Consider the following 25,246-nt stretch of genomic DNA (forward strand, 5'->3'; position numbering starts at 1 on the left):
CCTCCTGCCTCAGCCTCCCAAGTAGCTAGGACTACTGGCATGTGTCACCACACCTGGCTAATTTAAAAAAAAAATTTTTTTTTGGCGAGATGAGGGTCTTGTTATGTTGCCCAGGCTGGTCTTGAACACCTGGCCTCAAGCTGAACTCCTGGCCTCAAGCTATCCTCCTACCTCAGCCTCCCAAAACATTAGGATTATAGGTGCGAGGCCCTGGATGAGCAGCAAGGCTCAGGAAGGGCGTCCAAAAAAGACAGCTCTGCCCTCAGTTGTCAAGGATCTTGAGAAAGTTTCCAAACCTCTCTTAGATTCTCCTGTGTGCAAAACAAAGAGGGTTGGACCAGGTCATGCCTAAAGTTAAGTCCAACTTGGGTGTATTATAAGTGCCAAAAAACACTTTTGATATTCTGAACAGCGAAATCTAAATTTCTTTAGAGTGTCCTTAACTAAGTAGAAAAAGAAAGCTGTGCAAAGTGCTCTCTGGTGGACAGTTGGATATGTGAAAGAATGGTTTAAAAGGTCTTCCCATCTGAGCCACCTCTCTTTTTAACTATTTTTTTTTAATTAAAAAAATGGTTTTTTTTTAAGAGAATGAGATCTCGCTACATTGCCCAGGCTGGTCTCAAACTCCTGGCCTCAAGCAGTCCTCCCAGCTCAGCCTTCCAAAGTTCTGGGATTACAGGCATGAGCCACTGTGTCTGGCCTCTTGGGTCACCTCTCAATCTTCATTCATTCACTATAATAACTCATTCACGCATTAATTCAAAAATAATTAATGTGTGTCCACTAGGTGTCAGGCATTGTGTATACTGTAGTTACACTGAAAGACAGTTATTACCCTCCTGAATTTGTATCATCTAACAGAGTAGATGGACACTAAACAAAGCATTATTTCATTATACTGGCATTTAATGCTACAAATGAATGGTAGACATGTATTATGACAACAATCTATTGGGGACGTATAAGCTCCAATGAAGAAAGGATTCTTAAAAATATCACAATTCAGCTGAGACCTGAAGGAAAAGTGGGTATTAGCCAGGCAACGTATGTATAATGACCCTGAGAAATAGGGGAAAAGGCCAGCTGTGGCTGGCTCAAGATAAGGAAGGGAGAAGTGAGTGGTAAGGCAGAAGTACATAGTACATGAAGGGTCATTTAGGCAATTTTAAGGACTTTGACCTTTATCCCAAGGGCAGTGGAACATAATCAAAAGGTTTAAAGGAGTGAAAAGACATGATTAAATTATGAGTATAAAAAGCTCGCTCTCGTTGCTGTGTAAAAAATGACTTGGAGATGGGATAAAAGTGAATTGGGGAGCCATAGGGGAAGATATGCTAGATGTCCAGTTGAGAGATGACTCTAGATGTCTAGTATCCAGGCTTCCATGGCTGCTTCCAGTCCTTACCCTCCTATATATCCTCCTACTTGATTCTGCACATTAGTGAGTGCCTGCTGTGTGCCAAGCACTTCCATTCAGACTCCTGAGCAAAAGTGACAGAATTAAGATCATAGCAGCTCTGTGAGGAACTCCTAGTAGAAGAAGCCTCTTCCACTTCTCTTAGTCCTCCCGTGGCTGGACATGCCACAGCAAAACGTTGCTGATGTGTAGATTTATCAACTTACTCCAACAAGAGGGACTCTAATCACAGTAATAGCAGGGTTCAGAAGTTTCCCCCAAGAGCCTGGGCTACTTTGTTCCTGTAACTTTGAAGAGCACAGGTTAAATAAGTAGGATCCTCTCTATATTATGAGCTGAATAATTACAGAGAATAAAGTGTATCCCCTACCACCATTCCGCTATTGTTATTATGCAGTTGATCTTATTGCAGACTTAAAGGCTGTACATTAAAACACCTCTATGTTTCTTAAGACATGAAATACGGGATGATTAAAAAAATACCTCTGTGTTCTAAAACAGATAGTGATGGCTACACAGTTATGTAAATATACGAAAAAACATGTAATTGTACACTTTAACTGGGTGAATTGTATGCTATGTGAATAGCATAAAACAGCTCAATAAAGCTGTTACAAACAACAACAAAAACACCTCTTCCTTAAAGACCATGAGATTATGGATGAGTGAAATGACAGCAGAGATAAAAGTACCAAATCTACAGGATAACAAAGATAAATTAAATAATATAAATGTTGCCTACTGACATATTTTCTATTCACAAGCAAGCCAAAAAGTCTCTAAGATGGTGAGAAGAAATCAAATCTATAAAGCTTGTATTTCTCCCATGAAACACTCCATATAAAAGCTTCGCCAAAGATCAACAACAACAATAATAAACATATAAACTCTCAAAAGAGATATCTTTTTTGGAAAAAGTTGGTTGGATATAAAAGAGATAAAGGAGATATACCAGTTAATTTCTTCTTCATGTACCTTCCACACTGTACACAAGAAAGTTGCAACCTGAGGGGACACACCTCATATGGCCCTACTGCTTTCATTGTTCCAACACTTAATGAATTGTCTCACTTGATGGTCAGGCATTGCTGCTCTGCAGGTGGCCCACTCCCACTCTCCTTAAGGGATAAGGGCTGCAAACAGGAAGTAAGTGACCCTTAAATGCCATCTCTAGTTTTAAAAATTCACTGCATCTATATTTATAATGATGCAGACAGCAAAGGAGATGCTTTGAGTAAAAAGGTAATAAAGGTTGATGCTACTTAAAATAGTCAAGGTATTGGTTTAAAGCCAACTCTGGGCTCCCATCAGAAGGAAGGAGATGAATGCTATGACCAAAGACTGAAGTTCTCTATAGAGTCCACAGCACTCAATAGTACTGTATTTTCCTGAGGAGATATAAGACTTAGCCACTACATAATCATCACATAATAATCCATGATTTATTATTATTATTTTTTTGAGACAAGGTCTTGTTCTGTTGCCCAGGCTGGAGTACAGTGGCATGATCAAAGCTCATTGTAGCTTTGACCTCTTGGGCTCAAGCAATCCTCCCTCCTCAGCCTCTCCCTATAGCTGGAATCACACAGGCATGTGCCACCATACTTGGCTAATTTAAAAAAACTCTGTGTGTGTAGAGATGGGGTCTCCGTATGTTGCCCAGGTTGGTCTCGAACTTCTGGGCTCAAGTGCTCCTCCCACTTTGGCCTCCCAAAATGCTTGGATTATACACATGAGCCACTGTGCCTGGCCTACTCATGTTTGTTGATATGGGAAAGTAAATAAAGGTTTCAAAGTAGAAGAAGGAAGAAGAAGGAGGAAGGAAGAAAAAGAAGGAGAAAGAGGAGGAGGAGGGGAGAAAGAGGAGGAGGAGGAAAGAAAGAGAGAGAAGAAAGGAGGAGGAGGAAAGGGGGAAGGGAAAGGAAGGAAGAGGAAGGAAGGAAGAAGGGAGGGAGGAAGGAAATGACTGTGGCACCTTGGAATCTGTAATAGCAAGGAAAAGGGACTGTTTACACAGGTGGACATGTGCTCCTGACTTTTAGCACTGCAAGTTTCAGAACCTTTCTATGAGATATGAGACTACTACTAAAAACTTGGAGAGGTTATTCAGGAAACAAGGTTTGCCTAGTGATAGAAATTCTCTGTAGACAATCATGGATGATCATTTTTTCTGAAAAAGAAAAAGGGCATTACCTAAGGAAATACAAAAGTGCTTATATGAAATGGGAGCTCTCTGGAAAGCTTAAATGTAAGCTTTAGGAGAAAGATGAATAAAAATAAAACCATGAATGAACCTAAAAATGTACCTATGAAAGGTGTAGTTAACAGAAGCTCAAAATGCCAGAGGCAATAAAATAAAGTACTACTGGCTATATTCTAAGCAAGAAGAAAACGAAGGGGACAGAGTAACAGTTCTGGGGAAGGGAATGTAATGTTCACAGATGAACAGTGAAAAAGAGCCCAACTCAAGATGGAAGTTGGCTTGCGTCTCTCATAATAAAGAAAGGATGTTGGGCCGAGCACAGTGGTTCAAGCCTGTAATTCCAGCACTTTGGGAGGCTGAGGCAGGTAGATCACTTAAGCCCAGGAATTTGAGCCCAGCCTGGGCAATATGGTGAAACCTTATTTCTACCAAAAATACAAAAAAATTAGCCATGCATGGTGGTATGCACCTGTGATCCCAGCTATTGGAGTGGTTGAGGTGGGAAAATCACTTGAGCCCAGGAGGTTGAAGCTGCACTCCAGCCTGGGTGACAGGGTGAGACCCTGTCACAAAAAGAGAAGAAAAGGGAAGAAGAGGAGAGAGGATGGGAGGAGAAGGGAGGGGAGAGGAGGGGAAGAAAATGGGAGGAGAGGGGAGGGGAGTGAAGGGGAGGGGAAAAGATCTCCATATTGGTCAGGGCAAACGAAGAAGATGGAGCTGGTCCCTGAGGGGAAAAAGGGAGAGTAGGGACTTTGCCACTTTCAATGACTTCCAGTATTCCCACTCAGATGACTCTCACCCCAGGGCACTGAAGAAACTGTTGGGTCCTTTTCCAATATCACATGGAAGTAGCATTCTTGTGCCCACTGCAACAGTCCCACCATACACATACACAGTGTACATACTGCTTTCTTGAATAATCTCTCTTCCAGGCTTCTCACCAATCTCATGGGATGCCCAAGGCTATTACTATTGCCTTCACTGTACACCGAAGCTCAGAATTTAAGTGACCCGCCCAAGGTCATATAACCCCAAGGAGAACAAGACCAGATCTAGACCCAGGCCATCTGACTCGGGACCAGTGCTGTTTTCACTAACCAGTGTACCTTTTTGCTACTTCTTCAACAGAGCAACTTTTAAAACTCAAGCTATATAATATTAACAAAAATAAATATTAAGTACATTTGTAGCAAGATGAATACTTGCTGGTTAAATACCTTTCGACCTGCCTTAAGAGAAGTAAAATTTCATTTAATCTTCAGACCATCCCCAGGAAGGAGTTACAGATGAGGACCTGAGGCTTCTGGCCTTAAGTAACTTGCTTGGACTTGACAGTGACTGATTGAAGCAGCAAAGGTTTAAATGTATTGGAATCTGTTCTTGCTCCAAATTCCCTACTCTTTCCACTACAACTGGCTGCTACCTTAAATGTTTACCAAGGACTACTCTGAGATATAAACAGTATATGGTTAACCCAATTATAGCAAGCAGAAAAGTCAATGGCTTTCCTGAGCCCTGAGAAGTCTGATGTTCCAAACACATTTTCATAGCATGTTCTACAATCATGCTAACAAAAGCAAAGCCATTTCTCTCCTTTTTAACTTAGTTCTAATCTTGTGGGAAGAAATACTGAGGACCTGAGCCTCGCAGTAGCTGTGAGAATAGCGGTAGGCAACAAAACAAATATATCTGAATTTATTATGATTCTTACAGGGGCTCAATGACTACTATAAATCCCTGGGGCAAGCATATCTCCCTCTACTAAGAAATAGGCCAGGAGGTCCGTAGAATGGAGGCAAAGGGAAGGTAGAAACATGGAGAAATGGAGGCCTCCTCCAGGTTTTATTATTTCCAGGACCTACTTCCTGTACAGTCACTAGTTCTGGCTTTAGAGGAGAAAAAAGAAAGCTACTTCCATATAAATAAGAACCCAAAGCTCTTCAGGTTAAGTTCATTGCCTAGGTTCGCCAGTGATGGTTGCGATAGAGGTCTCGATGTAATGGAATCTGGTATATGACTCGCAAATGTACAGGCACAAGCACGTCTACCAGCAACAGCAGCAGAAGTTAAAAGAACCCTCCAAGTAGCACCATGTGTTAATTCAACAAAGGTTTATCAAGCATCAATGACTAAATCGAGCAATGGGTAAATACTGGAGATCAGGCAGAGAATGAGACAGCATGCCCATCTTTGTGGAGCTTACAGTCTTGTGGGGGTTTACAGTTACAAAAGGGCATGCTCAGATTGCTATGGATACTTAAAAATGCATGGAGTTCAGTTTGGTACCCATGCTCAGATTGCTATGGGTACTTAAAAACCAGGAATGGAGTTGAATCTTTATTACACTTTTGAATCTCCATGAATTTAAAGAATGTTTCAAAATTCTAAATTATTTTATTCATTTTAATTAAAAAGCAAACCACTACCACTTACTCTTAAGAAGCTCAGTGAAGTAGCAAATAGAATATTTATTCTAAGCCCTGGCTCTTGTAGTTTTTGATCGGATACATGTCTTAACAAAATATAATCCTGAATATGAAAAATCCATCACCAGTTAAAATTTTTACCTAAGAAACTTGCCTGCTACACAAAATTAGTCAAAGTTGACTGTAGAGGATATTTAGTGAAACTTCATATAGAACAGATTTACTACTTTATTAATTATAGTCCAGTGATGCCCCAAGAACATTCTTTACTAGAAGAATTAATAGTCACTGCACAGTTGCACAGGCAGGTGTTCAAGACTTGGTGCTCGGCCAGGCGCGGTGGCTCATGCCTGTAATCCCAGCACTTTGGGAGGCCGAGGCAGGTGGATCACGAGGTCAGGAGATCGAGACCATCCTGGCTAACATGGTGAAACCCCGTCTCTACTAAAAATACAAAAAAAAAAAAATTAGCCGGGCATCATGGCGGGCGTCTGTAGTCCCAGTTACTCGGGAGGCTGAGGCAGGAGAATGGCGTGAACCCGGGAGGCGGAGGTTGCAGTGAGCCAAGATTGCGCCACTGCACTCCAGCCTGGGTGACTGAGCAAGACTCCGTCTCAAAAAAAAAAAAAAAAGACTTGGTGCTATTCTCCTACATGCTCTTTTCATTTATTAATACAGGGTCCAGATTGGCTCTTACTGCCTTCCATACCCCTAAGATTGCAAACAGTGGCAAAGCTGGGATTCAAGGAATTTAAACTCATGCCAATCTGCAAAACTATTAAGTACACCAACTGCCTAAAACTCTACTTCATGCCCCCTCTTTACATCAGAGGTAGCACTCTTAATGTCTCTAGAGGGCAGGCAGGTAACACCAATGAACAGTGTGGCAGGTAAGGCATGTGCATATATGGTGGAAGCAGGAGAAACAGAATGAGTTGAAGAGGAGACTGAAGGGAAAAGCAGCTATTTGACTCCAATGATTGCCACAATGTATGATCTTGCAATTTTCTTTTTTTTTTTTTAGACGGAGCCTCGCTCTGTCGCCCAGGCTGGAGTGCAGTAGCACGATCTCGGCTCACTCCAAGCTCCACCTCCCAGGTTCACGCCATTCTCCTGCCTCAGCCTCCTGAGTAGCTGGGACTACAGGTGTCTGCCACTACTCCCAGCTAATTTTTTTTGTGTTTTTAGTAGAGACGGGGTTTCACCGTGTTAGCCAGGATGGTTTGGTCTCGATCTCCTGATTCATGATCCACCCGCCTCGGCCTCCCAGAGTGCTGGGATTACAGGTGTGAGCCACCGCGCCCGGTCATTTGGCAATTTTCAAACCAGAAGTTCAACATCTCATACATACTCCTGAATGTTTAAATGTTAATCTAAGTTTCTTTGTTGTTTAAGAGCACTGTGTAGGTCAAGCAGGTCACTAGCTCTCCACCTCTGCTAACATACTGTCAGTGTCATCTTCTGAACAGCACTAGTTTGGTATGCTAAATTTTGCAGGATTATTTTCATAAGTGTAACATCACTCTGGGGATGGGTGAGGCAGAAGATTCCTTAATGCCTTAAATATCAACAGTGCTCTCTTTTTCAGGCAGCCTAGATGAATTCATGGACTAATGCCATGCAAGGTAGAGCTGGTCACTTATGATCATAAGGTGCCTTTCTTCCCAGGAAACTACAGAACAAACTTCTTTTCTCTCCCATAGCAGTTTCACCCTAAGTAGGTGCTTACCCGTTTGTCAATGTCATTGTGCTGAAGCTGCACAAAACGAGCGCTGATGGCTGCAATGTAACTCTGCTGATTGGAGAATGCCACGCGGCCAGCACCTTTGGGGTACTTCAGCTCTGGGTCCGTATCAATGCCAGCATAGCAGACACCACCGTACAAACGGTCCATGATCATTGCCAGTTCAACTGCAAAAAAAAAACAAAACATGGATGTGTATAAATATCTGGGAGGTACTCTTGCCCAGGAGAAGGAAGAATTATTTAGAGATCATGCAATGTAATTAAGAAAAGGAAAACCCATGTTAAGTATCATGAAGAATGTCCACACCAGTCTTACAACTCAAGTAGGGAAGGTCCTCACTGGGTGTTTTGAAATAAAATGGAAAAAAAATTAGGAATTTACAACATACACACAAGAATTTATATAATCAGAACTTTAGCAGTAGTATAGAAGAAATGAACTACCAGTAATCCTGTTCTAATTTCTAATTGCTTAGTCCAATGGAATGCACCCTGGGTAGGCAAGGCATTTCATGCTGCCCTAACAAGTTAATAAGAAACAGTCCTACTTACTAACCTCTAAGACTAAAAGCAATTACTAGTGTCACACTACTATATTAGGACTAAGCTATAGAAAGGATTAACTAACTGCTTGTTTTAACTAGAGACAATTTGTTTATAGCCTTAAAGTAAATCTCCACAATTTAAAAAAATAAAGATTTTAGAGTATATTCTAACCCAACTGTGAACTCTCCATACTAACCTTTCCCATTGAATTCTAAATAATACTAGTAATGATAATAGCCACAATAAACATTTACTGAGCACTTACAACCTACCACAGAGCACTAAGGTGCCACACAAATAGTAAAAACATACCCATGTTGTACCTTGCTACAGATCCAGAGGTCTGGCCTGTACTCCTTGTCACATTTCTTCTAAATATGCCTTTGTTTGTTTGTTTGTTTGTTTGTTTGTTTGTTTACTGAGACAGAGTCTCGCTCTGTTGCCCAGGCTGGAGTGCAGTGGTGTGATCTCAGCTCACTACAACCTCCCCGGTTCAAGTGATTCTCCTGCCTCAGCCTCCCGAGTAGCTGGGATTACAGGCATGCACCACCACACTTGGCTAATTTTTTGTATTTTTAGTAGAGATGGGGTTTCACCATGTTGGCCAGGCTGGTCTTGAACTCCTGACCTCAAGTGATCCTCCAGCCTTGGCCTCCCAAAGTGCTGGGATTACAGGCATGAGCCACCATGCCTGGCCTAAGTATGCCTTTATATTGGTATAGTTACAAAACAATAAAGGTACCATTAGAAAAACATGTAGCACTTACCTGCATACCAGATTGTCTGAAGGTAATTGTTTACTTGATAGTGGACAGCACCTTCTCCAGGTATGACCATTCCTTTTAGGCTACTCACATAATATAAGTCCAAAAGACTCAGCACTACCCCTGGGAAGTGACCCAAGAACCTGTTTCAACACCTATATATAGTATTTGGAAAGGAGAAGACAGGGAAGACAGACAATGACCTGGGCCACAGCCAATGTGCAAAGATCATCACATAGTAGATCTCCACAGGAATCAGTATCTGGGGAGATGGAGAGCAGCACAACTCTTCTCTTCTAGGAGAAGAGTTCTGCAGAATGTACAAAGGGTGAAGGGCTGAATAGTATAAGAACTCCACTAGATGTCTATGAACAAAAGGAAAGCCAAGCATTACTGGTTTCTGTACTATGAAACTGCTGAGGCAGTAAGAAAAACTGTGTTGCTACATCAGAGAGGCTATGTTTACACTTCTCCAAAAGTTCTTTACATACCAGATTGCCTATTGGTGACTGTTTTCTAAGTGCCTATTTTTAACAGGAAGGACAACCTACAACCAACTAGTAATTTTCAGAAGGTGAGAAAATAAGCTAGTAATAAGTAAGCCTAAGAGTAAGTGCTATTAAAGACAGAGCAGCAAAAAGTTATCTCAATTATACCACTATGGTCAGAATTACTAAGCCATATCAGCCAAGGGAGAATTGTCCGTTAAAGCCAAGTTGATGCTGACTGCAGTCTTGGGGCAGGATCCAGGAATCACATTCATTCAAACAATGTAACAGGAATTGTGTGCATAACCCTAAATATTAGAGGTCCTTATACTTCATCCCAACAACCTCTGATGGTTTGAGAATCTCCTCATACGGCTAATGTTACTGCAGTAACAGAGATCAAGAAACTGAAGGCAAAATTAATTGTTAATTGCAGTCATTAATGAATTTCCCTTATTGGTTGAATGGGTTTAATGAAATAAGTAACCTCAGGACCCTGTAAATTAAATACTAATTTTCAAAAGACAAGGCTTCCTCTGTAGTGAAATAAGAGAGGGAACAATCTCTAAGCCTGGTGAATGGCCAGGAAAAGAATGCTGGCAAGGAATTGAATGGCACTTGTCTTCCACGATAGGAAGGACTCAATAAAGTGCCTGATTTAGAAAGAAGGCACATGAGTGGTAAGCTTGAAACTCCAGCTAAGCAGGAGAGTTACTGTAACCACAGATTTTTCTACACCACAGTGGTCTCCAAAAAATCTTCAGGATCGCCGGGCACGGTGGCTCACGGCTATAATCCCAGCACTTTGGGAGGCCAAGGTGGGCGGATCTTGAGGTCAGGAGATGGAGACCATCCTGGCTAACACGGTGAAACCCCGTCTCTACTAAAATACAAAAAATTAGCCGGGCGTGGTGGCAGACGCCGGGAGGCTGAGGGAAGAGAATGGCATGAACCTGGGAGCTGGACCTTGCAGTGAGCCGAGATCACGCCACTGCACTCCAGCACAGGCGAAAGAGCAAGACTCTGTCTCAAAAAAAAAAAAAAAAAAAAATCTTCAGGATCTCCTGATGCCAGAGAAGCACAAACATTCCATTACTTTGTGAATCTATCTGCTTGAAATCATCTGCACATTCCAAGGATTAGATCGTGACTGATGTTGCTGGCAGTTAAGTACTTTTGATAGGAAACAGAAACCCTCATCTGCTTATGCTCTTATGACAACCAATTATAAATAAATAATTTCCATTTATGAACTTATATGTAGTTGCTTTTTTGGCCACCAAAAAGTCTGCAGACATTTGAGTTGATTAGGTCTCACTTAAGTGAAGGGCAATTTGTTGAGAAGCTAGAAGAAACCAAGGTGACTTAAGAAGAGGTTTTTGGGAGAAGAGTATGAAAATTTCCCATCTCCCTCTCTACCCTCATCTGTATTTTATTATTTATTTATTTATTTACTTATTTTTGAGACGGAGTCTCACTCTGTTGCCCAGGCTGGAGTGCAGTGGTGCAATCTTGGCTCACTGCAAGCTCTGCCTCCTGGGTTCACACCATTCTTCTGCCTCAGCCTCCCGAGCAGCTGGGACTACAGGCGCCCGCCACCACGCCTGGCTAATTTTTTGTATTTTTAGTAGAGACTGGGTTTCACCGTGTTAGTCAGGATGGTCTCGATCTCCTGACCTCATGATCCGCCTGCCTCGGCCTCCCAAAGTGCTGAGATTACAGGTGTGAGCCACCGTGCCCGGCCTCATCTGTATTTTAACTACAGAAAGTCTAATACTATGACCACCCTTGAAGGGAAGTAAACAATAGTCAAACAACTGCTGTTCATATTTGGTCTTTTGCTCAACCAGTGAGTCTTCATTCAGCATACTTTATTAAGCATACTTAAATGAACTCATTTAAGTACTAAACAGAATTTCTAGTCCTCATTTGAAACCATCCTCTGCAGAGGGCAGAGACAAAGTAGCTCCCAGGAGGATGTTCTTAACATTTAACCTGAGGAAAATGAGGGTAGCAGAGCAGGGCATAGAGGCGAAGGAATCCAGAGTTCACACAGAGGTGAAAATAGGTATATAGTTCACGAGGAAGTCGAGACTTTCCAAACTACTTTTTATTTTCTTTCCCATCCAGACAGTGCTCATTGGTCTGTCTGGTCATGGTGGGAAGATGGCGGTCTAATAGCTATGGTTCAAGGGTATACCATACTTTGGACAAGATGCTCTGTGATCCTAAGACAACTTAAGTTGTCTCATGAACAACTTCCATGGTAGCAGCAACACAATGAGTCTAATCCACATGCTGGCTCTTGTGATGAGCGTCACTGTGCCACAGACTGGAGGGGCAAACTAGAATACTGCAGCAATATGGAGCATAGCATCCCCATGGATTCCTTTGGATTGTGATGACTACATCTCTGAATCTGAATATAAGCTTCAATTATGGTTCCTTGGATTTGCTCCTGATTCTTTTTTCTTTTTTCTTTTTCTTTTTTTGAGATGGAATCTCGCTCTATCGCTCAGGCTGGAGTGCAGTGACACGATCTCGGCTCACTGCAACCTCCGCCTCCAGGGTTCAAGCGATTCTCCTGCCTCCGCCTCCCAAGTAGCTGGGATTATAGGAGTGCAGTCACCACGCCCAACTCATTTTTATATTTTTAGTAGAGATGGGGTTTTGCCATATTGGCCAGGCTGGTCTTGAACTCCTGACATCAGGTAATCCACCTGCCTTGGCCTCCCAAAGTGCTGGGATTACAGGCGTGAGCCACCGTGCTTGGCCTGCTCCCAATTCTTTACAAAGATGTGAAAGGGTCTTTAGTTCACCAGAGAGGAAACCCATGATGACTCCTTCTTCATGGGTTCACCTTAGGGCCCTATTTATATCATTTAATTATAATACATTTCAAAGCCAGCTAAGGCAACATGTGAGTCTGAGATACTGGAGAGCCAAACGAGATAGAGTAGAAATGAGGATTCCAGAGGAAAATAACACATTCGTCTCTACAGATTCTAAACTGCGAATCTATAATCCATATTTCTTCTCTTTGGAAATAAGGACAAAACAGATAGGCAAGAGGCATAGGGCACCTTAAGATATCAAAGAGGTCTTGACTTCTGAAAGAAAGGAAGATTAAACTTGAGGAGGACTTTCTAGGTTTACCACAATTGTCAAGTTGGTTCAAGGGCAATTCACACACTTCAAGTGGAAGAAATGTGCTCATAAGCTTCTGCTCTGCATCAGATATGTTGGGAAGTTAAGAATATTTTCAAATAGATGGTATGAACAATGAATTAAATCAGACAGAGTACACTGGTACCAAGTAGACTGTTACTACTGTTACTGAGACAACATCTCAGATCTCAGCTTAATAAAGTATCTTTCTTTCGACCTGAGAAAGACCAGTTACTCTATCTGAACTCTGCTTCATCATCTCGAAAGCGCAGTCTACCACTTACAATCTCACAGGGTCATTGTGAGAATTAAACATCCATGAGAGCTCTGGGCACACTGCTGAGGACAGAGTGGTATTCAAATGTTTAGTTTTGTCCAGGGTTCTTGCCCCTCTCCCACCCTGTGAATCTCTGCTTAACATTTAAGTTGGCCTGGTTTTATGCTCTATAAGTATCAATTCATTGCAGTGTTATTTTGGTTTTATGCTAATATCACACAGCCTGCCACTGATATGGCAAAGTTTGACATCAGCTTTGGATGAGGGTTTGCTTTTGGTGCAGAGGGAGGACACAAACACATACTAACATTAGGAAAACCCTTATCCCTAAAGGTAATACAGTTAATCAAGTCAGTATGCCAAATCTGGAGTTTATCCGGGACAACCCATACTGAACTTAGGACATGGTGAAAAAGCTTCTACTGTTGAAAAACTTGATACAGGATGGTTTCTGCCTGCAACCATATCATAAAACAACAATAAAGGATAGGGTTATAATATACTCCTGTTTCCTAAGTCACAAATCAGGACATGGTTTCTAATACATGTGAACTATCAAATGTTTATATAAAATGTCTGAAATAAATGATCTTAGAAAAATTCAGGATATATGTTCTCTAGATATATGCCACATATCTCTGAATATTTACTTCACAAATTTTTACCTCCCACAGAAAAACCATCCTCACAACAGTCAGGGCAGGTGGGGAAGGCAGAGAAAGAAATTTCAGGATTCACCACAGAATATTGGTAGGGGAAAAAAAGAAAGGAAGGAATTATCACAGCAATTGTTAGGAAAGATAGAACCAAAAGATGAACGAGAAAACAGTAGGTTGTGGGGATTCAGATGAGCACTCTCTCAAGATTGATCTGTTTGCAGGGCCTAAGGAAGTCATGAAGTCAAGAACAGTTTATATGCTTCTAATGAGAAAGACTGAAAGTTTTTCCAGCCTGATCAAGGTTGGGAATGAATGGATCCAAAAGCTTGGTCACTGGGGCAGTCCTCCCATCAGATGCCAAAACCAAGAAATTTGGGATCAGAGGAATACTCATGTTAATCAACTGGGGAAGAGTACAGAGACCACATACCTCACTCTCTACTTTTTCCTGGTGATATCATAACCCCCAAGTCTGGCACTTATTTTCTGTCAGAGTGAAGAGATATGCATTCTGGAGAGGTCCTAATGCCACAGAGATATGCAACAGGGCTATTTCTGTATGGAGATTCACATTACGTGAATGAAGCAGAGTGGCAACGTGTTGTACTTCCAGGTGGCAGCAGGAGGAGAATCAAACTGCCCATTATTACCCTGTACTGACTCTAAAGAATATGCGAGCTTTAGCCACATGGTGGCACGGTGAGTCTACTTACAGGCTTTCCTAATGTGAGGGCAGGGTGAGGTGGGGAGTAGAAAGAAAACAAGATCTGATAAACACCAGGAGACTTCAGGCAAACCATCGTTGGCTTGCTATTGTCACCGATGGGAATGATGAAAGGAAGAGACAGTAATAATGTGTATTATTTGACATAGAAAAACCCACAATCAGGCAATGAGTAAGCTCATCTAAATTTTCCACTGATATTTTCCCATTTTCAGCTTTGCTTTTCTTTTCCTTTCTAGGACTGTGATTTTTTTCCAACCTAATTTTTTTTTTTTTTTTTTTTGAGATAAGGTCTTACTGTCACCCAGGCTGGAGTGCACTGATGCAATCTCAGCTCACTGCAGCCCCGAGCTCCCTGGGCTCAAGTGGTTCTCCTGCCTCAGCCCCCCAAGTAGCTGGAACTACAGGAGTGTGCCATCATGCCTGGCTAATTTTTGTATTTATTGTAGAGACAGGGTTTCACCATGTTGCCCAGGCTGGTCCAACCTGAGTTTTTAAAAGGAAGGTTTATCAAAGAACCAGAAACTCAGGACAATACTGCTTAAAATAGGTTGCCTTTTTTCTTTAAGAGGTGTTTGTATATTTCTGTTTAAAGGGATAAGGCCTGTATTCAGAATAACTATCAGTGATATTGGTCCTTGTCTTACAATGAGGAAATATCAAAGATTAAAAAAAAAAAACTCACAAGATCCAAAGGAATAACACTTCAGTGATAACATTTTAGTCACTGTGACATATTAAGGGATACTTTTTGGCCCTGAATAAGGTAAAAATCCACCTGGACATCTAAAATCACACCTGTTGAGTAGGGACACCCATATCTAGTCCAGGATCAGTCTACATAAAATGCTTAAAATAGTTTTAGACTTTCCAAAATTCCATAACTAGAATATCCCTTGGAAATAATAAAAAATGCTCTAAAGCATTTCAAAACCAAATTTGAAAATCATGTTAAAGAATATAATCTGGTCTCCAGTTAATTCTGAGTTCACATTCTATAAACACATTTGTTTTCTTCTGAAATCTTTTGACTGTCTGTAAATGATTACCTCTTTAACATGATAGTGGGATATTCAGTTTTGCATGACACATATTTTCTCAGTGCCAGTAATACAGTAGATGCTCAATAAATGTTTATCATTCAAGTGAACTGTACTGTATTCAACTTCAGCTTGTCTAGCAAAGTCACAATGAATTCCTTTAAAAAACGTCTTCTATTCCAAGGTATACATCAGTTCCCAAAGCTCAGTGTGTTTCAAAGAAACCCAATCCCTAGGATTATACATAAAAGTTGCAGATGTTAACTTTTTGTCTTGATAACATGGCCCTCTAAACTAGAAGTCTTGGGATGAATGGTAAAATTCTAAGACAATAATATAGATTACTTTGCCACCTAGAAACTAGCTATGCTTAAGGGAAGTGTTGGCATGGGAGGAACCCTATCAATAATTCAAGTGATTTTAGATTACTATCCACATAACTATAAAAACAAAACATTTTAAAACAAAAAATTTTAGCTTAGTTGAAAAAAAAGAGAACTTCGGCTGGGCACGGTGGCTCACACCTGTAATCCCAGCACTTTGGGAGGCCGAGGCGGGTGAATCATGAGGTCAGGAGTTTGAAACCAGCCTGGCCAACATGGTGAAACACTGTCTCTACCAAAAATACAAAACAGCCAGGCATGGTGGTGTGCGCCTGTAGTCCCAACTACTCGTGAAGCTGAGGCAGGAGAATCTCTTGAACCCGGGAGGTGGAGGTTGCAGTGAGCTGAGATCGGGCCATTGCACTCCAGCCCAGGTGACAGAGTGAGACTCCGTCTCAAAAAAAAAAGGAACTTCAAATTATGAAAGGTATAATATAGTATCTAGTCAGGGAACACAAAATCCCATTTCTTACTAGACAACTAAATATAATTCTTGTTTAATCCTAGAATTTGTGGCATCTTGCAGATACCAAATGTTAAAGAATATAATTTCATGCCCAGGGGTTCACTTCTTGCAGTGTTGGTGTGATCATACAGCAACCTTTTGGAAAAGGTATCTTCACAGGATTTACAGAAGAAAAATGATACATAGGCCCTTACCTATCCTTCCAAATCATTAAAACAGGAAGAATAAAGAGTGAATAATACAAATTGAAGTTTAATGTATAAACTTGTATGTCTGTGACTTAGATAGACATAAGAAGTTACAGCCAATTCTGTTATTTTTATAACTATAGGGCTTTTTCAGAATATTTTTTCAGATTCCTATCTAGGAAAAAAAGGAAAGGGGCTAGAACATAAAAACTAATTTGTGGCTGGGCGTGGTGGCTCACGCCTGTAATCCCAACTACTTTGGGAGGCTGAGGTGGGTGGATCACCTGAGGTCAGGAGTTCAAGACCAACCTGGCCAACATGGCAAAACCCTGTTTCTACTAGAAATACAAAAATTAGCCAGGTGTGGTGGCACACACCTGTAGTCCCAACTACTTGGGGGACTGAGGCTGGAGAATCACTTGAACCCAGGAGGCGGAGGTTGCAGTGAGCCGAGATCATGCCACTGCACTCCAGCCTGGGCAACAGAGCGAGACTCCATCTCAAACAAACAAACAAACAAAAAAACTAATTTGTGCTTGCAGTTAGTTGCAAAAGGAATAGCTAGAATACTAGCAATGATTGTCCATTTGTAAAATAAGGAAAAGGATTTCTGTCCCTCTCCACTCCTAAATATAACACTAGTTAGAAAAAGTCAGAAATATTTCACAACACCTCCACCATTTTTTTTAAAGCACAGTTTACAAAGGGCTGCATTTGCCCCCATCTCATAATGCTTTTCACGTTTGAATTAGCCCTTCTTAGACTTTATTCTCCGACTGCAGATAAAAGGGGAGCATCTCTGCTGTTTTGCTTTCTATCTTTCATTTGACAGTTTTCCATTCGAATGAAGAAAATAAGACCCAATCAGAACAAATATGTTTAAAAGTTCTTCAAAATGAAATTATGAGTGTCTTTATATAGGTCTAAAGTTATCTTTTAGGTGTAGGCTGGAGTTGGGATTTGGATGAGTATGTTACAAATGTTGAGGAACTTTCAGAATTAAGTTTTGAAAGTAATACAGCTAAATAACGTTAGGTTACATTTTATAATTCCATTTCACAACATGATTTTAATGATCTCTGCTTTTTGTTTTAATTTTAGGTAGAACTAAGTCTATGTGCATATAAATAACACAAAAGAAATGTACTTTCACAGTGGCAACAGTAACTTTTTTTGTCTTACTTTAAAAAAATAAACTTAATTATTCTAAGTGCTTCAAAAACTTAGATCTTAGAAATGATTTTGTTATACTCCACTGGCATTAATAGTGGTTATTAGGAGGCTGATGTACAGCTGATTGGATTTGTCTTTGGATTTAAATATGTATTGAAGCCATCAGTTCAACAACACTTCAAACTCTCCAGTCAATTATGATTCTGCTCAAATCCAGCAGCACAATTATTTCATCACTGGAAAGGAACTTAAAAAAAAAAACCAACAGGGAAGCTTTAAAAAAGATTTCTGTCATACATAACAATGCTGACTGGCATAAGAATGCACATTGCCAAATGTGTTATTATTTTTTATATAAGCAATTAAATAGGAAAGCACTAAATAGAATTCATTTTGTCAACATAACTGTTTAATGAAATTCACTTTTGCACCATAACAAAATAGAGCATTTTGGGAGAAAACCTTTAATCCTGAAAAAGCTCAGTGAAAATGATGACAGCCTTCTTTTTGGAGACTATGTATAGCTGACTGGAAACCTAGAAAATATTTAAGACTAAAGGCATTGGGGATTTTGTTGTTGTTGGTTTTGTTGTTGTGGTATTACTATTTCCACTCACCAGCTCGAAGGGGTCGTGGAACTCCCCCAACAAAGATAGTTTTTCTGGGGTCCAAAGGCTGAGAACCATCCATTACAAAGTCACTGTCACTTAGGTTCCATGGTCGAATTTGCACCTGAAAAAAAGTTGTTTACTTGGTCCTTACTTCATTTCCATCAACCCCAAATGAGAATAAGATGACTAAAGACAAACCCACTGATTTGTGCATTTCACAATGAACATGACCCAAACAAAATCCAGTTAATTAGTTAACGTAATCTGCATTAAGTACCTTTCAATAGAACTCTTGGGGAATCTACTTACAGGTACTGTACTCAGCACTCTAGACATATGACATATACCATGAAACCATCAGAAACCACCTCTGCCTGTGGTTTTTTTATTTTAAGGCAGGCTTTTAGAGACAGAGTCTGCATTTTGAATCAGATTCATCTTAACACATGATAGAGACTGTTTACAACGTGTCACAGTACACCACTTTGTTTTAAGAGTTCATCTAAAGTACATCAGGAGTATTTTCTAAAAATTCTCCATGTCTGACTTTTTAATTCTCATCACCCTCCAAAATTCAAACATATCTTTCAGCAATATGATTTAATACAGACGAACATGCAGCAAGTTAGCATAGAATTACCAAAGATAACAATAAAGCACAAAGAGTACTCTCTGGCTGGGCATGGTGGCTCACACCTGTAATTCCAGCACTTTGGGAGGCTGAGGCAGGTGGATCCCTTAAGGTCAGGAGTTCGAGATCAGCCTGGCCAACATGGTGAAACCCTGTCTCTACTGAAAATACAAAAATTAGCTGGGTGTAGTGGCTCACGCCTGTAGTCCCAGCTACTCAGGAGGCTGAGGCATGAGAATCGCTTGAACCCAGCAGGTAGAGGTTGCAGTGAGCCGAGATCACGCCACTGCACTGCAGCCTGGTGACAGAGCAAGACTGTCTCAGGAAAAAAAAAAAAGAGAGAGAATTACCTCTTTTGGATTTATCTGATTTTGACAAATGAGGCTGGTTAAATAAAGGCAAGCTTCAAAGTTTAAGTAAATTTTTTTAAAAGCAGAAAAAGAAATCTTTATGGCATATTTCTATTTGGTCATTTTTCTTAACTGGGACTCTGACTTAGTGCCCATAGTTTGTACTATTTTATCACAAGCAAAAAATAAGGTATTTCTTTAGAATTTTAACCTTAAAACATGAGCCTTTATGTACATGGTTTTATATACAAAACCTTAAAACATATTATCAAAGAATAGCTTAAACAAAACAAAAACACAAAAACATCCTCCCACACCAGAAGGCAAATTTTGCACGGTCTCAAAACCAACCAGTTACGCAGGTAGCCAATATGCTCTGAGAAGCGGGCTGGGTGCAGAAAGGGAACCTGGTATCTGTCCTCAAGGAACATGCCATTCCCCCTCCCCTCCACCAATGAATGACTAAGATAGAAAACAAAAAAGTTGACTTTTCATTTCCTTAGTATTAATGGAATTGTTCATTTCCCCCTTGCTCAGAAATCAATACTTAATGCGAAGAAACATATGTGATAATTTCTTATGTGGCTTGGCTTATACCCAGGAGTACTTCCACTTGAAAGGTAGCACCTGTGGCAATTATACTTTCAAAACATTTTGAATTAACTTTAAAACTGGAATTGCTCAGTTAGAAACAGTCTACACTTTTTTTTTTTTGGGAGATGGAGTTTCCCCTTTTTGCCCAGGCTGGAGTGAAGTGGCACAATCTCGGCTCATGCAACCTCCACCCCCCAGGTTCAAGAGAATTCTCTTGCCTTGGCCTCCCAAGTAGCTGGGATTACAGGTGCCCGCCATCATGCCCGGTTAATTTTTGTATTTTTAGTAGAGACAAGGTTTCACCATGTTGGCCAGCTGGTCTCAAACTCTTGACCTGAGGGGATCTACCCACTTCAGCCTCCCAAAGTGTTAGGATGATAGGCACGAGCCACCGCGCCTGGCCAGTCTATACATTCTTTAAGACTGCTACAAATTTCACCCTCACCTAACTTTTTGCCTTTATTATTATTATTTGAGACAGAGTGTTGCTTTATTGCCCAGGCTGGAGTACAGTGGCATGATCTCGGCTCACTGCAACCTCCGTCTCCTGGGTTCAAGTGATTCTCGTGCCTCAGCCTCCTGAGTAGTTGGAATTACCGGCACCTGCCACCACACCTGGGTAATTTTTGTATTTTTAGCAGAGACGGGGCTTCGCCATGTTGGCCAGGGTGGTCTCAAACTCTTGACCTCAAGGGATCCGCCCACCTCGGCCTCCCAAAGTGCTGGGATTACGGGAGCGAGCCACTGTGCCCGGCCACTTTTCGCCTTTTATGACACTGTTGCCCTCACCAGTTAGCCAGGAGACACAAAATCACAAAATCTCCATTTCTTCCCCAGACCCTGAAAACTTGGACCTGTTTACAATATTGTTCACATGTAGACATTCGCTCCACCTTTATTGCATGAAAAAAAATGCAGTTCTGGCTGGGCGCTGTGGCTCAAGCCTATAATCCCAGCACTTTGGGAGGCCGAGGCAGGCGGATCACGAGGTCAGGAGATCGAGACCATCCTGGCTAACATGGTGAAACCCCGTTTCTACTAAAGATACGAAAAATTAGCCGGGCGTGGTAGCGGGCGCCTGTGGTCCCAGCTACTCAGGAGGCTGAGGCAGGAGAATGGTGTGAACCTGGGAGGCGGAGCTTGCAGTGTGCCAAGATCACGTCACTGCACTCCAGCCTGGGCGGTAGAGCGAAACTCCCTTTCAAAAAAAAAAAAAATGCAGTTCTTTCCATGTAAATTTTGGTCTGTTTGACTAAATTATCATTCCCTTGACATTTACTACAAAGGCAGATTCACTAATACCATAAAGCATTACTTTTAAATGCCTTCATGAGGACCTACTGCCTTTTACTAATTTTTTCATTTAATACACAATAATTTCCTGACACTGTGAGAACAAAGATTCTAATGACACACACACACACACACACACACACACACACAGAGATGTATCTTTTTCTACACATAATCTCTCTTCTAATCTCATTCCTAATAAAGCAGTTAAGGCAGCTTCGGGACCTGGTAAGGTAATTCCAATCACTTTATGTTAATTGCGTTTGATCATAGATCACTTTATTTTAAAAATGAAAACTATTCTTGTGTAGTATCCAATGGTCTGCTTTCATGTTCAATTAATTGAGACAGGAAATACAGCCTTTTATCAATAGCTGTAGGTTACCACTGCTCAAAAGAACTCTGCAAAAGATCTCAAACCTTCCTGCTGAGAGCTTTCATTACTGCCTACTGCCTTTTCTGCCCACTCCCCAACCCCCGATCTCACTTCATCACATTGCACACAACCCATTCCTTTATTCTTGGCATTGCAGATTAGGTAAAAATATAGGAAGAGGGCTCAAGACACAGTGCTGATTAACCCTATTCACGAAACCTACATTTCCCAGCTGCCACCAGAAAACAGTTGCTCAGAGCTGTCACCTCTGCAGAATTAATCAACATAGATGCAGAATTAATCAACATAGAACAATATCAACACACTCTATATACTAAGCAAAAAATAATATTGTGGTACTATCTGTATGAAAAGTTGCACTCACACTCTGGTTTCTCTCTTAAATCTAAGCCCATTCTCACACAAGGCCTGTTTCTCCAGACCTCAGGTCCTGATATCCATGTTCTATCCTTCTGGACTTACTCTTTGTTTGGATATATTTTCTGGTCCTGATTTATATATATATATATATATTTTTTTTTTTTCATTGTGTATATATATATTGCGTATATATATAATATATATACTTCATTGTAATATCATACTTTATAAGCTAATTCAAATATTTTGTGGAGAGTATAAATAAAATAACCACTTTTTAATTATCTTTGTTTCTTTAATAATTATTTTTGAGAATAGATGAAATTAGAATTCTGTCCTAATTCAATAAATTTCCTCTCTATATACAAAACTGGTCCTCCGTATCTGTGGGTTCTGAGTCTGCAAGGCAGGGTCAGCCAATCTCAAATAGAAAACTTTTTTTTTTGAGATGGAGTCTTGCTCTGTCGCCCAGGCTGGAGTGCAGTGGCACAATCTCAGTCCACTGAAACCTCCACCTCCCAGGTTCAAGCAATTTTCCTGCCTCAGCCTCCTGAGTAGCTAGAGTGTGCCACCACACCTGGCTGATTTTTTTTTTTTTTTTTTTTTTTAGTAGAGATGGGGTTTCACCACGTTGGCCAGGCTGGTCTCAAACTTGACCTCAGGTGATCTACCTGCCTCGGCCTCCCAAAGTGCTGGGATTACAGGCGTGAGCCACCATGCCCAGCCTAGAATATATTTTAAAACAAAAATAACAGTAACAATAATACAAATTTTAAAACTATAGTAGAACGACTATTTATATAGCATTTACATTGTATTAGGTATTATAAGTAATCTAGAGACAATTCAAAGTATATGGGAGGATGCACATAGGTTACGTCATTTTATGTAAGGGACTTGAGCATCCATGGATTTTGGTATCTGAGGGGGGTCCTAGAACCAATCCCTTATGCAAACCTAGGAACAACTGTATAGGGCTAACTCTGTGACTGTGTGTGAGAAAGAAGGTGTGTGAGTGAAACAATTCTTCCAGTATGTTGTCAAGTAGGCACTATAGGGGCAGTAAAAGCCTCAGCATCCTGAGGACAAGTATAAGGATGCCACCCAGAAATAGTGAAGATTCCCTGAAATTATCCTGACATGATTCCAGCACTTCTTCCTGGAGCAGCCTGACCACATTTTCTGGTAAAGGTGACTCTAAAAAAAGGTTGCTGGCCAGGTGCAGTCGCTCATTTCTGTAATCCCAGCACTTTGGGAGGCCAAGGTGGGCAGATCATTTGAGGTCAGGAGTTCGACACCAGCTTGGCCAACACGGTAAAACCTGTCTCTACTAAAAATACAAAAGTTAGCTGGGCGTGGTGGCAGGCACCGGTAATCCCAGCTACTCAGGAAGCTGAGGCAGGAGAATAATCACTTGAATCTGGGAGGCAGAGGTTGCAGTGAGCAAAGATCGTGCCACTGTACTCCAGCCTGGGTGACAGAGTGAGACCCTGTCTCAAAATAAAATAAAAATTTAAAAAGGGGCTGCAGTATCCTTTGGGAAGCACCAGCTTTTGGGCCATGCCATGTCCTTATGGTAGGGGTCACACAAACTCAAATGACCATAGGGTCAGACAGGTAGTGCAAATGTCAAGCCACATTTGGGTTAGCAGGCAGGCAGTAACACACTGGAGTAAACTACTTCTCAGCTCCAGCAAGTAGTTACCACTTGCCTAAGTATTGTCAGACTTTTTCCATTTTTCAAGAGTGGCTAGAAATTCAGATTTTTAAGTGAAACTTCAATATTCTAAAATAGGAACTAATTCAAATGTTAAAAGTCACTATACAGGCTAAATAAAATTATCTGCGGACCAGATCTATGCCATGGGCCCCACCCAGTCCATGATCTTTGGCTTGAAGAGTTTAGTTACCACACAGCTTACAGTGATGGAATGTTTTGTTCCATTAGCACATATGAGAGAAAATACAAAAATCATTTTTCTTTAGTTTCTCTCTAAAGCACGTATTCCTATGGAAGCTCTCCTGAGGACTACTTTTGGCTGAATTACATATCTTCTAAATTCTTATCTTCTGTTTCATATAACTGCTTATCTCCAAAGGCAAAATCTTTTTAGGAATAAAGACAAAAACCAAACACAGTGCTGAGTGGTATAAATATAATAATTTATACCATATAGTGACTTTAACATCAGCCTTCAAGAAATCTAAAAGAACTTAACATTAATAATATCAACAGTTAGTAGTGAAATCACTAATATTCCTTTTCAAGGTTTCCCAAAGTGTGTTCTGTGGAACATGGGTCCCTAGGGTTGGTCTGCCAGATAAGCAGTGTTGGGGAAAAACTATAGATTATCTTCTCCTTCTTGGAGTTTCATGGCACCCATTAGCGTACTTAATTAAAGGCTCTAAGAAATTCTATAGAAATCTGTTCAGCCAGGCACAGTGGCTCACACCTGTAATCCCAGCACTTTGGGAGGCCGAGGTGGGTGGATCACCTGAGGTCAGGAGTTTGAGACCAGCCTGACCAATATGGTGAAACCCCGTATCTACTAAAAATACAGAATCAGTCAGGCATGGTGGTGCATGCCTGTAATCCCAGCTACTTGGGAGGCTGAGGCAGGAGAATCGCTTGAACCCAGGAAGTGGATGCTACGGTGAGCCAAGATCGCGCCATTGCACTCCATCCTGGGCAACAAGAGTGACACTCTGCCTAAAAAAAAAAAAAAAAAAAAAAAAAAAAAAAAAAAAAAAATCTGTTCAATGTTGTTTAACTCACAGCATTTCTAAAATTATTTCCATAGACCCCATTTTTTGCATGACACCTATTAATACCTACACTTCCAATAATTCTGCCCTACTATACCTTACTCTTTTTTTGAGACGGAGTTTCGCTCTTGTTGCCCAGGCTGGAGTGCAAAGGCACGATCTTGGCTCACCACAACCTCTGCCTCCCAGGTTCAAGAGATTCTCCTGCCTCAGCCTCCCAAGTAGCTGGGATTACAAGGCATGCACCACCACGCCTGGCTAATTTTGTATTTTTAGTAGAGACGGGGTTTCTCCATGTTGGTCGGGATGGTCTCAAAATCAGGTGATTCAACCACCTCAGTGTGAAGTTTTCAGAAACTTCACTCCATCCCAGGCCTTTTCCTCACTTATTTCTTGCTATTGCTCTGAAAAGTTCGCTTCTATAGAGTTTAACTTTAAATGATTAAGAGTATACTAAACTGAAACATTAGATAGCTGTTCAAAGAACTGAAAGTTTTCTGGCTAAACTGTATAAAAGATATGTTACCAAACCAGTTTAACTATTTTTCTTTTTTTCTTTTTTTTTTTTTTTTTTTG

The 25,246-nt window shown here is 40.9% G+C and overlaps 1 protein-coding gene across 26 annotated transcripts in view, besides 1 other annotated feature; it reads right to left on the reverse strand.

Annotated features, from left to right (window-relative positions):
• CPEB3 (cytoplasmic polyadenylation element binding protein 3) overlaps positions 1-25,246 on the reverse strand; it is a 244,542-nt gene that overhangs the window by 26,853 nt on the left and 192,443 nt on the right. For 21 of the 26 annotated variants that reach the window (XM_047424810.1, XM_024447895.2, XM_011539517.3 and 18 more), the window contains 2 exons: positions 18,286-18,400; positions 7,776-7,957 (listed from right to left, as the gene is read on the reverse strand). In XM_047424810.1, the coding sequence (XP_047280766.1) occupies positions 7,776-7,957; positions 18,286-18,400 (297 nt within the window). Of the gene's footprint in view, positions 1-6,256; positions 6,491-7,775; positions 7,958-18,285; positions 18,401-25,246 lie in introns of those variants that run through there. The other 5 variants (XM_047424815.1, XM_011539518.3, XM_047424816.1 and 2 more) reach the window with 3 other exon arrangements.
• Positions 2,127-2,788: an enhancer, noted in NCBI's record as "OCT4-NANOG hESC enhancer chr10:93835428-93836089 (GRCh37/hg19 assembly coordinates)". NCBI's record gives its function as "activates a minimal SCP1, AML or CMV promoter by ChIP-STARR-seq in naive and primed H9 embryonic stem cells {active_cell/tissue: H9 hESC(naive and primed)}" and the evidence as "EXISTENCE:reporter gene assay evidence [ECO:0000049][PMID:30033119]".

Source organism: Homo sapiens, chromosome 10 (genome assembly GCF_000001405.40).
Source record: "Homo sapiens chromosome 10, GRCh38.p14 Primary Assembly".
Lineage (NCBI taxonomy): Eukaryota > Metazoa > Chordata > Mammalia > Primates > Hominidae > Homo > Homo sapiens.